General features: G+C 36.1%; 1 protein-coding gene across 5 annotated transcripts in view; it reads left to right on the plus strand.

Annotated features, from left to right (window-relative positions):
• CDK8 (cyclin dependent kinase 8) overlaps positions 1-12,627 on the plus strand; it is a 151,110-nt gene extending 138,483 nt beyond the window's left edge. For 4 of the 5 annotated variants that reach the window (XM_047430033.1, NM_001260.3, NM_001346501.2 and 1 more), the window contains 7 exons: positions 756-899; positions 3,674-3,743; positions 4,542-4,614; positions 7,842-7,939; positions 8,658-8,736; positions 8,855-9,013; positions 11,345-12,627. In XM_047430033.1, coding sequence (XP_047285989.1) covers positions 756-899; positions 3,674-3,743; positions 4,542-4,614; positions 7,842-7,939; positions 8,658-8,736; positions 8,855-9,013; positions 11,345-11,470 — 749 coding nt within the window. In that variant the 3' untranslated portion in view covers positions 11,471-12,627. The remainder of the gene's footprint in view (positions 1-755; positions 900-3,673; positions 3,744-4,541; positions 4,615-7,841; positions 7,940-8,657; positions 8,737-8,854; positions 9,014-11,344) is intronic. The other variant, NM_001318368.2, reaches the window with a different exon arrangement.
• The last annotated feature ends 590 nt before the right edge of the window (positions 12,628-13,217 follow it).

Consider the following 13,217-nt stretch of genomic DNA (forward strand, 5'->3'; position numbering starts at 1 on the left):
CACCACACCCGGCCGAATTTATAATCCATGTTAACAGTAATATTTTGCTTTTGCTTCCTGTCCTTTGCATTAAATACTTAAATTTGCAAAATCTGATACTGCTTATGGCATCAAGAACCACTTTGGAAAAAAAACTTTGTTAAAGTAGAAATGCTGTTAATTCTTAGGCGTTTTGAGGTCGGACATTGTCTCTTGGTGGAATACCACCTTACTGATTAGTGCTAACATGAGAGGGTAATTATTAGACCTTGCAAATTAGCAAGTAAATAAAATAAAAAATATTTTATCACAAAAATTTACACTGATTATGTTAGGCGAGTGCCCAATTTCAAATACTGTTTGGGTTTTCCGTTTGTTTTTGTTTAGTTTTCTTTGGTTGTAGTTCCCATGCTCCATATGCAGCTTTACTGTAGTTCACAGAAAAGGTATCACCTGGACATTGAAAACTCACCAAAATCCAGCCAGTACATTTAATTGGGCTTAGAGTGAAACCATTTGGGTGGTATGGAGGTATACAGAATGAAAAATCGGGGTGGAGGGCATGGGAATATATACTTATAATAATGTTTCATGGTATTTAGTAATTATAATTGCTTAGGAATTAATATGAGTTATTAGGGAAAGAAAGAAAAAAACACTCCCCAAGAAAATAAAATTGCATTTTCTTTTGGAAAGAACCACTTTATTTTGCACCTTTCTTTTTCTTTTTTCCTTGCCTATTTTTCTTTCTTTTTTTTTTTCTTTTTGTTTTAAAGATATTTGGGCTATAGGGTGTATATTTGCAGAACTACTAACGTCAGAACCAATATTTCACTGTCGACAAGAGGACATCAAAACTAGTAATCCTTATCACCATGACCAGCTGGACAGAATATTCAATGTAATGGGATTTCCTGCAGGTACACATTATTCGTTTTTGTTTTTGTTTTTAAATCACTGTTGTTTGAACTTAGATGTCTTCGTTGGAGAGGTATATATTTTTAGCTGATGGAAGCTACTTTTACTTGAGTCTTTGTTTTTTGACTTGCATTTATCAAAGATCCGTAGAAACAGCAAAATTTGTAGAGTTTACATATTGGCATGGAAATATTTATGGGTTTCCTGAATTTCAGGACTGTATTTTTGTTTCATCTTGTTTTACTTTTTTGTTTTGTTATTTGGTATTTGAAATGATAAAATATGTTCAATATCTGTATTAAAAAGGTACCTTTAGCTCTTACCAGTAGAAACTATAAATGAATTCAGTAGTAGGAATTTTTTTCTGGCAGCACATATAATACTGCCACTATTTGGCATTCAAATATAAATTTTGAACCTTATTTCTATTTAGGGCACTATACAGAATCACATTATATTGAATAATAGCATTTAAGTCTTCTCTTAGAACAGTCACAATGTGGGTGAGAGTCATAGTACCCTATGGTGAGTTAGCCTGCTGTTTTGCAACAGAGAGATGGTTTACATGTATCCTATCCCTGGTATTAGATCTCTCCAACTGTATCTCAATCCCTAGTTATATTACAGAACGGTAATCACCAAAAACTGCTCAGAGGTCCAGAATAATGAGAATTTGTTTAAAACACCTAAATTTTGGCTAGTCAAGTACTTAGTAGAAAGTGTTTCTTATTAGGAATATTTCTCAGGTCACTATAAACTCAAGACTAATAGAGATAATACCTGGGACTTTTAATTCTACATTCCCTTGTAAGGGTGTTAATTATCAGTAAATGCAGAATAACTACACAGATACTGCCTTTCTCCAAAATTGGTCACCAGTGTGGAGAAGACTTCTGTTGTGATGGGAATTTTATTTATTCAGTAAATATTTATTGAGTACCTGCCATGTGCCAGGCACTGTCTTAAGTAAAAAGTTATTGATGATGTAACAGACATGATTTTTGCCCCCTTGGAGTTTGCATTGTACTGCTATATGTAGAATGTTTAAAAAGTAGGTATGGTTTTGAGTAGAGACAGAAGAATTCTGTTTTCTTCCTGCTTCTGAATGTGTCCACCATTTCTGAGCCCACGGGAAAGGCATAGCTTCTGTGAGGGAGTAGATGTGGTGAAGATGTCTATCAGTGACTCTTAATATGTGGTTCAGAGGTTAGGGTGGTTTATAAGGAAGCTTGGAAAGCAGGCAGCAGAGGTTAGATTTGATAGCTAAAGAATGAGAATCCATCAGTTCTTGAGTACTAGAGACATGCTTTATGTTGCATTTTAGAAAGATTTAGTAAGATGGTGGTAGGTAAAAATCTGTTAAAAAGAGCTAACTGAAATCAGAAACCAGCTGTAGCAGTGCTGCAGACAGAAAGTAGAGTGAAGATAAGGATGGAGAAAAAAGGGCAGATGGAAATGTTTTATAGGAAGTGTATAAGCAAGGGAAAACTAAAGATTATCTTAAAATTTCTAGCATGAGAAATTGATAAAACACAGAAATTGGAGCAAGGAAAATAGTTAAGGAGAAAATTCCATTTAGGAGTGTAGTGTATGTTTAGTTTACAATATGTGATGTCTTTGGAGGATAGTTACCAAATATTTTTACAAGTAAGTTCAAAGAAAAGCAAGCCTCTAAAGGCCATTTAAAAGCTAAAGGTTTTGCGAGGCCGCGGTGGGCGGATCACCTGAGGTTGGGAGTTTGAGACCAGCCTGAACAACATGGAGAAACCCCGTCTCTACCAAAAATACAAAATTAGCTGGGCATGGTGGCTACATGCCTGTAATGTATTACAGGCATGGGATTACATGCCTGTAATCCCAGCTACTCTGGAGGCTGAGGCAGGGGAATCACTTGAACCTGGGAGGCAGAGGTTGGGGTGAGCCGAGATCGCACCATTGCACTCCGGCCTGGGCTGTTAACAAGAGCGAAACTCCGTCTCAAAAAAAAAAAAAAAAGAGCTAAAGGTGCTGTTAAGCTGCCTGTGACAGTCCTTTGCACCTAGTAGACTCTCAGGAAAACCCATTGGCAGATATTGGAGAGAACACATTATGTAGCATGTATTGTTTGAGCAACTTGGATGCCAGCAAAAGTAGCTGAAACGTTTTGTACTTAACGTATTTAGGAGCTGGGGTTGTTTTGGGTAATGTTAACCAGACTAGCCAAGGTACCAGCCCACTTATTAATATACTAATTATATCCTACCCTATTGTGCAAATAGTTATTACCCCTTCTTCCATTGATTGCTTATGTAAAGAAATATATTTAACAAGGTGAAAGGAGGGCTGTATCATAAAAAGAAGTATAGTTTAAAGCCACTGAGGGGAAGATCTTAGATTTCTCATTGAAGAAATTGATTGCTGACTTAACCAAGAAATTTGGTAGAAAAGGGGAAATAAGCAGTTTTACTAATAGAAAGAGGACATTTAATAAGATAAATAGAAATATGTATAACTTATTCTTCTCTAGTGACAGAAATTGAGGCAGCTTATAGTAAAACATACAGAAAGTTTGCAGTTTAAAATTTAAAATATAAACAGATATATAAAGTTATATAAGGGATAAGGAATTATGTTTACACTTCAAGATATTTACTGTTGCTGAACATTTATTTGAAGACAGCTTTTTTGTGTGGAGGTTGAACGGATAGGAAATGTAATGAACGTGGTAATAACCTTTTTAAAAATTCTCAAGAATAGGAACTTAGGCAACATAAAAATTTATCAATGTATTTCACAGATAAAGATTGGGAAGATATAAAAAAGATGCCTGAACATTCAACATTAATGAAAGATTTCAGAAGAAATACGTAAGTTGGAAAAAAAGAGACTCCTTGTTGATTTTTGCTTTACCAGAATACTCAGTGTAAGACTGAATATTCAACATAATAAAATACTCAATATAAGATTACTCTAATAAATAATTTTACTTATTTACTCTAATAAATATTTTTCATGATGACAGTCTTTATTTCTTAAGATGCTTAAATGATTATATACAAAAGTGACTAATATTAGCAGCTGATTTGGATATAAAACAAATTCATGTCTTTCCATATTGACTACTTTTTGGAAGCTAGACATTAGTGAGAAGTATCACAGCTGAATAAATAAGAATCTAAATAAATAAACTTTGGTAATAGCCACTTGCTCACCAATCTAGGTTACAGTAATTTTAAGCAGGTTTTAACAGAGAAGAATGGATATTTCACCTGTTTACAATGCAAAGCCAGGGATTGGGAGAGTTTAGTTTGTATACCTATGACAAAAGTATTTTACACTTATTGGTAAGGCTGAATTAAACTTTTGACCCAGATGTTATTTAAAATAATTGTTAAAATATAATTCATGTGAAAAAAAAAGCTGTTTAGTGTCTGTTATTCATGAAATTGTCTTACATTTAATCATCGGTATCCTTTCAAAAGTGACCATTGTGGATATTGAATGAAATAGAAAACTGATTTAATTCTACTCATTTTATGCTCATAGTGTTTTCAATATATATTTTATATCGGTTATGATCAAAATAATTCTCATCAGAAGGACTTTAGCCAATGTACAATTAACCTCAAGTCTAATATAGCTATTTCATAGTATTTCTCTTTCAGGTATACCAACTGCAGCCTTATCAAGTATATGGAAAAACATAAAGTTAAACCAGATAGTAAAGCATTCCACTTGGTAAGCATTGGTTAACAGTATTAATGAAATGCATTTTTTCCTTAATTGACTAGCCCAACTGAGGCTTTTTTGGATCAATTTATGTGGTTACTTAGCTAGCACTCAGAGTGCTTTCATGGTAAATGCAGAGATCTTGTTAGTGCATACCAATAAAGACAATAAACTATTTGCTCTTCCAGACTCATATCATGGTTTGACAGACTAATGTTTGGTCACATTAGATTTTCTAAAGATAGCGATGGTAACAAATCTGTCAAAACATTTATAAAATTACATGTATTGTTTTTCGTCTGTTTAAGATTTTAAAAGTTCCAGAGAAGTATCAAGAAGAAAGTACTTCTCACCATTGATAAATAGATTGTTTTGTATTTCAGCTCTTTGAAAGACTGTTTACAAAGTTCTTAATTTCCAAAATACCTCTTATAACCTTAAATGTTAACAGTCATTCAGCGATTATATGTGCTATTTGATTTTTCTGGAAGAATGTGATAGATGCCATATTTATCAGTGTGTAATGGAAAAATGATTTAACCTAGAATCTAATTGAATCCGTGCACTAACAAGGTAATTTGTGATGAAATTATATACAGCCATTACCAACTTTGTTTACAATAAAATTTCCATTGTTACAGCGTAATAATTAATAATGTTTTTTGTTTTAGAAAAAGGTTTATAACACATAGAAGGGGAGTTTGGGGAAGCAGGTTGTATTTTGCTTGGCTTGAAATTCTTTTAATCCTTATTCCTAAGTTCTTAAATGAGAATTCTTTCACCTTGAAGAGGTTAACCTTTCCTTTATTGCAACCAGGCCATTTGGCAAACATTTCTTCTGTTCTTCCTTTGTTTCTCCTTTTTCTTCGCTTTCTACTGCTTCTCCTTCTGTATTTTCTACTTACTATTATATCAGTTCACATTTTATATCATGTATTTCATATCTTAACAGCAATTTAAAAAGTCATTCTTAACCTGTCATATTACCACACAATATATTATCCAGATAATGGTTTATTATAATGTACTTACAGTAGGACCCAAATTAGAGGTCTAAGTTAGATCCTTCGAAATTATGGACTTACTGATTCTAATAAAATAATGATAGTGGCAGAAGATTAGAAGTCATGACTTAGGGGAATTATTATTCTCCTTGATTCCCTGCTACTCATTATAGTCTAGGATGACTCTGCCTACCATCACCACTAAAACTCTAGAGATATACCTTCCTTGTAGCTTATGTGCTTGTTTTTACCAGGGTGACCCATCTTAATTGGAGGTAATCTTGAGTAGTCTCTTAGGAAAGCCCTATTATAATTCCATTAAAACTGTTGGGTATTTTCAATAGCAAATTCAGGCCTTTCCTTTCAACCCTAAAAATAAAATTGTGCTTTCTCTGAAATATCAGATCATTAAAATTAAATTTTAATCTCACCATTCTAGCGTTTTATTTGCATCTTAAAATATGTCGTGTCGGCCTGGCGTGGTAGCTCACGCCTGTGATCCCAGCACTTTGGGAGGCCGAGGCGGGCGGATCACAAGGTCAGGAGATTGAGACCATCCTGGCCAATGTGGTGAAACTCCTAAAAATACAAAAAGTAGCTGAGTGTGGTGGTACATGCCTGTAGTCCCAGCTACTCGGGAGGTTGAGGCAGGAGAATCGCTTGAACCCAGGAGGTGGAGGTTGCAGTGAGCCTAGATCGTGCCACTGCACTCTAGCCTGGCAACAAAGCAAGACTCTATCTCAAAAAAAAAAAAAAATGTCTTTTTATCCTGTAAAATTTGTCATCTTTCTTTAAGTCTTTTTTGTTGGAGACACAGTTTCATTGTGTCACCAGGCTAGAGTGCAGTGGTGTGATCTTGGCTCACTGCAACCTCTGCCTCCCAGGTTCAAGCCATTCTCATGCCTCAGCCTCCCGAGTACCTGGGATTACAGGCGCCTGCCACCACACCCAGCTAATTTTTGTATTATTAGTAGAGATGGGGTTTCACCATGTTGACCAGGCTGGTCTCGAACTCCTGACCTCAGGTGATCCATCCACCTTGGCCTCCCAAAGTGCTGGGATTACAGGTGTGAGCCACCACACCTGGCCTCTCTTTTAAGTCTTAATGTGTCTGTTAGTTCATTGGTTTTCAAAATGCAGTCTCAGTCCAGCAGCATGGTATCATGTAGGGCCATGTTGGAAATGCAGGCTTTTGGCTCCTACTCACATCTACCAATCAGAAACTCTGTGAGGAGGGCCCAGCAGTCTGTTTTAAGAAGTTCTCCAGGTGATTCTCATGCATCCTAAAGTCCGAAAGCCACTGCATTAGATCAGAGTATAAACTAAGAGACCACATATTAGAATCCAATTGAATGAACTATGTCTTAACTAAAAAATACTGAATCTTCACATTAGTGTGGCATTTATAGTAATAATAACAATAAGAGCAAGCACTTACATAGTACTTTCTTTATGCTAGGCACCATTATAATTGCTCTCCATATATTAACTCATTTAATCCTGAAAACAACCTGTGATAATAGTCACCATTTTTAATCTCCATTTGACAAATGAGGTAACAAAAATATTAAGGTAACTTATCCAATGTCACGCAGCTAATAAATGTTGAGTCAGGATTTGAATGGAGCAGTCGACTTTCAGAGTCTCTGCTCATCACACAGCTCTGTACTTTGTAAGTTGTGTATCACCATTTTTATTTAGACTAGAACAGCACTGCACAGTACCACTTTCTGTGATGATCTGCACAGTGCAGTAGCGTAGCCACTAGCCACATTTGGCTCTTGAAATGTGCCTGGTGTAATGGGGAGATTGACTTTTTTATTTAATTCAGTTTTGATTAACTTGGATCTAAATATGAATCACTGCATGTGTTAGTGTATTATATGTGTAACAACAGCTTTTTTATCTTAATAGAAAAAGAATAGAAAATACACAAATTTTGGTCCTGTTCTAAATTGGATAAAGCCATTTAGATAATGGGGGTGGGGATCCATTTGTTTAGTCAGAGAACATAAGCAAGAGTAAAACAAGTGAGATTATGAAACTGGAATGACTAAAGTGTGAATTACTACATTAAATTTAACAACTAGGAGTTTTGTTGTTAATTTGGGGGAATAAATATTTTCCAAATTGTGATGTTATTCACCAAAAAATATATATCGTCTTCACATATGTGCTGAAAGATAACTGTGAGAAGCAATACCGTCATGTTTGTATGATTTGTGATTTCAGCTTCAGAAGCTGCTTACCATGGACCCAATAAAGCGAATTACCTCAGAACAGGCTATGCAGGACCCCTATTTCTTAGAAGACCCACTTCCTACATCAGAGTAAGTGGCCTAGTTGGTTAACTCATCAGCATGATGGAAGTTTTGGAGTATGCTTTCTTCTGCTTGTCAGCTCTTAAGTTGCTCCTCCTCTTATATGGGAACCCAAGGAAATCCTTTATGACAAGCAAAAATGAGCTTTGCTGATTAAAGTGTCATTTAGGGGCTTTCCAGTTAAGAGGCATTCCTGTTCATCTCTTGCTTTATGAAATGCTGATCACATTAGTTTCAGTAGTGATCCAGCTATTCAGTGACAGGTTGGTTATGCGTGCTGTAGCTCCTTACTGTCTGCAGTTACAGTTTCATGTTCCAAAATTGCAAATATTCCCAAATGTGTTCCCTATACCATCTTTTGTTTTGTTAATAAATGTAGTAGGAAGGGTAAAACAAAAATTACCTTTGAATGGTGACACATACTTCAGCTAGAATCTATATTTGGTCTGTATTAATAGAAGAGTAATGCTGGGATAAAAGAAGAAAGCTGAATCATACTCGATGATTATTGATCATTTGTATACAGCTCAAGCCCTCAAGTAGCCTGCTGTAATATTACTAGTTACAAAGAAAAGATTCGTTTTGTCACAGTTACATGAAAGGTGCTTATATTTGCAAATATGGAGACAAAGTTCATCTTAAAAGATTAAAATGAGAATCTCCTAAATGAAGCATTTGGAATATTGATTAGTATACCAGAAATGGTTTTTCTTTTTCTTATGATCAGCGTTTTTGCCGGTTGTCAAATCCCTTACCCAAAACGAGAATTTTTAACGGAAGAAGAACCTGATGACAAAGGAGACAAAGTAAGTATTAAAGTACTGTTAGCAGCTTCTTGTTTCGTGAATGCCTCCATAACATTTTCCATTGTGGGTATATTTTGTTCTCCCTCTGAGCTGAACTTTTTCTGTTTAACCAATTGAGAAGAACCAGCAGCAGCAGCAGGGCAATAACCACACTAATGGAACTGGCCACCCAGGGAATCAAGACAGCAGTCACACACAGGGACCCCCGTTGAAGAAAGTGAGAGTTGTTCCTCCTACCACTACCTCAGGTGGACTTATCATGACCTCAGACTATCAGGTATTCCAAGTTTATTTTGTATTGACTGCATGTCAGTGTTTACATATGGGTTTATGATCGTGGGAAAATGTGATTTAATTGAGAAATACTGACGTCTGTATACCCAGGGAAATACATTAACATGAAATGTTACTGGCATGGAAAAGTACTGACAGTGGTATGGTAGCAAGGGTTTAGACTTTTGAACCAGACTTGGAATGATCAAATACAAATTATGCCATTTATTAACTGTGTGACCTTGGACAAGTAGGATAATATCTCCTGGCGTTTTTTCATCTGTAAAATGAAACTAGTAAAACCTAACTTGCAGCTGTTGTCAGATTAGACATGAAGTGGCTTGACACCTAGCTTATGGTAGGAGCTTGATAGCTATTGTTTTGGAACAATGTTTCACAGTGATTAAGAACATAGGCTTTCAGATCCCAGTCTGGCCACTTACTTCTCTGTATCCTTGAGTAAGTGATTCAGATGTTCTCAGTTTCCATTTGTAGACTGGATAATGATCAATGTGAAGCTGTAGTAAGGATTAAATGAGATAACTCTGGGAGGTTAAGTGTTGCAGCCATTTCAGGAAACTGAGGCTTGTAGAGGTTAAATAACTTTCACATGGATCCCCAGCAAGCTGTAGATGCAGGACTCATATTTGATCTGACCACAAAGGCTGTTATGTTGCCTGCTTAGGGATCCTATCATGGCATTGTCAGTTACGTTGTGGAAAGACCCTCTTTGAAAATTGTATACCACCTCCTTTTCTCTTCTGCTTATTCTAACCATATTCCCAACTACACAAGGGTTCAGTGTGGGAAGGATACTGAAAATCTGACCAATTAGAATTATTTACACACAAAAAAAAAGAGAGAGAGAAAGAGATGTTATTAAACTGATAAGGTCCCGAGTGCTCGTTACTGTACTTTCAGAATTAGGTATTAACTCTTTCTTTTGGTTAGGGGAGAAGTCCAGCCCATCACACCATGGAAATCACTGTTGTGTGAGTAGTAATTCTCTTCCAGTTAGCTAAACAAGGACACCAAGGGCAGACAGCTGTGGGAGTTGTTGGTTCCAGTATCTTTTTCTTCCTTTCCGGATGGGAAGAGTGCATCTCTCTTGGCCCACAAATGTGTTTGCACACTAAGGTGATGGCATCCTTAGAAGGAAGCAGAGCAGTGCTCTGACCTTCGCTTCTGGAACCGAGAAAATGATGCCATGCTGCTTTGTTGGTGTGATTGTTGTTGGTTTTTTGTGGATGAATTTTAAAATAGTATTTGTGACTATCATTTCATGTGTCCACTCTTTTTAAAAATGTTACCTTTTCTAGGATTGGCAGAATTTGGAATTATATGTCTTATTAAATATGCTTTGAAAGACAGAAGTAATAAGTTCTGGTTAATCTTTTATAGTGTTTGTCTTGGGAGCAAATAGTATGAGAGAGAGGTGTGAGAATGGGAATAATAATCTAACATATCAAAATTAGAGAACCCCAAACCATCACATTCTTTCTCTTTGTGCCATTTTAGAATTGAGAATACCGTCCTTCTTACTGTGGTTATATTTTTACTTTTGTATATAAACTTGTAGCAGAAAATAAGATTCAGTAGCTTAAAGGGGCCAGGCACTGTGGCTCATGCCCGTAATCCCAGTGGTTTAGAAGGCTGAGGGGAAGGATCACTTGAGGCCTGGAGTTTGAAATCAACCTGGGCAACATAGCAAGACTCTGTTCCTTCAAAAAAAATTTTTAAAAATTAGCTGAGCATGGAGGTGCATGCCTATAATCCTAGCAATGATTATACCATTACACTCCAGCCTGGATGATAGAGTGACACCCTGTCTCAAAAGAAAAAAAAAATAGTTTAAAGGGCATAAAAATGTATTAATGCCAAAGAAATGGATTCTGTGATACCTTCTCCTATCATACTCACTTTTACTCTTCAGTCATGTGTGTGGGGGTGAGTTTTCTACTGAAGAAAGCATGTAAATAAGCTTTGAATTTTTTATGTATACATCATTAAGTTTCTGGGTAAACATCTCAAGCAAATTTACCAAGTAGATACAAAACAGCATAAAAAGGGGTTACTCCTGTAGAAAAAAATGTATTTGCACAGCATAGTAATAAGCCTAGGCTTAATATTATTTACTAGCAATATTTCTGACCTTCCTCAAGAGAAGAGGATGTTAAAATATTTGGGGTTTTTGTCTTTAATTATAAAGTTAGTACATAGCACAAAACCTATACATCCTTTCTTCCTTGAAACATAATGACACTTCAGTCACATATTGGGATTGAGCTTCCCCTAGAAGCACCTGAATCACACTTTTCCCTCATCTCCTTTCCAGCGTTCCAATCCACATGCTGCCTATCCCAACCCTGGACCAAGCACATCACAGCCGCAGAGCAGCATGGGATACTCAGCTACCTCCCAGCAGCCTCCACAGTACTCACATCAGACACATCGGTACTGAGCTGCATCGGAATCTTGTCCATGCACTGTTGCGAATGCTGCAGGGCTGACTGTGCAGCTCTCTGCGGGAACCTGGTATGGGCCATGAGAATGTACTGTACAACCACATCTTCAAAATGTCCAGTAGCCAAGTTCCACCACTTTTCACAGATTGGGGTAGTGGCTTCCAAGTTGTACCTATTTTGGAGTTAGACTTGAAAAGAAAGTGCTAGCACAGTTTGTGTTGTGGATTTGCTACTTCCATAGTTTACTTGACATGGTTCAGACTGACCAATGCATTTTTTTCAGTGACAGTCTGTAGCAGTTGAAGCTGTGAATGTGCTAGGGGCAAGCATTTGTCTTTGTATGTGGTGAATTTTTTCAGTGTAACAACATTATCTGACCAATAGTACACACACAGACACAAAGTTTAACTGGTACTTGAAACATACAGTATATGTTAACGAAATAACCAAGACTCGAAATGAGATTATTTTGGTACACCTTTCTTTTTAGTGTCTTATCAGTGGGCTGATTCATTTTCTACATTAATCAGTGTTTTCTGACCAAGAATATTGCTTGGATTTTTTTGAAAGTACAAAAAGCCACATAGTTTTTCCAGAAAGGTTTCAAAACTCCCAAAGATTAACTTCCAACTTATAAGTTTGTTTTTATTTTCAATCTATGACTTGACTGGTATTAAAGCTGCTATTTGATAGTAATTAAATATGTTGTCATTGATATAAACCTGTTTGGTTCAGCAAACAAACTAAAATGATTGTCATAGACAGTGTTTTATTTTTCCTGTTGGTGTTGCTGATTTGTGAGCATGCTTTAAGATGAAAAAAGCATGAATGATAACTTCCTTAAAAAGGTGCGGCATCCAATTCAAATATTTTCGTCCTGATTTTAAAGCTGGTTGGTGTAGTGCTATTAAAATTTCGTTCAGTTAATTTTCCTTTTGAAAACTTGTTCGCACGTTGTTTAGGGTGCCCTTACTTCAGCAAAGGAGAAGGAGTAGGAGAGCCTTAGAATTTTTGAGGAAAAAAAAACCTATAACATACAATGTACTGTATCAAACTATTTTACATGAATGACACAAGTATTCTGAATAAAAAATAATTGAACATTGTTAAAAACAAGGTGTTATGTAATAAATTTATTTTTCATAAATCAAAACATGGAGTCAGCTGTCTTTTTTATATGTACAAAGGGTTTTTGTTTTAATTTTAAAATATGCCTTAATAAGTAGCCTCTGAAGAAATCTCTTCACTTTTCATGAAGAATATCTATGTGTCTGTCTCCATAATAGAGTACTGACTTGAGTCTTAGATATGGATCCTTTTTTCCTGCTATACTCGGTACCATAATGTAAGATATGAAACACAGACACCTATCTAATTGGAAGATATTGGTGAGCCTTCAATCGCTGGAATCATTCCTAATTTATTCTGTGTTGTACTGAGAAGGATTTGACTGTTGTATCCCTAATAATTAATTTTCCTCCTCCAGAAAATACAGAAGATTAGGAAAAAAAACTAACTTTTTTCTTAAAAACCCAACTCAATGATATAAAAACATTCTAAAACAAAATCACTGAGGAATCTCTGTCCTTATAGGCCCGACAGTACAGTAATGGTAATTTCTAGGAGCTGAATTCATGTTTCCATTTTAAGTCCTCCTGCCCCAACGCATTCTCAGGATGTGTGGACCTGGTTATGAGTTCCCCTCCTGAGCCCTCAGGAGCTCCCTGCCTTCCATAGTTTGGT

This window comes from Homo sapiens, chromosome 13, assembly GCF_000001405.40.
Source record: "Homo sapiens chromosome 13, GRCh38.p14 Primary Assembly".
Lineage (NCBI taxonomy): Eukaryota > Metazoa > Chordata > Mammalia > Primates > Hominidae > Homo > Homo sapiens.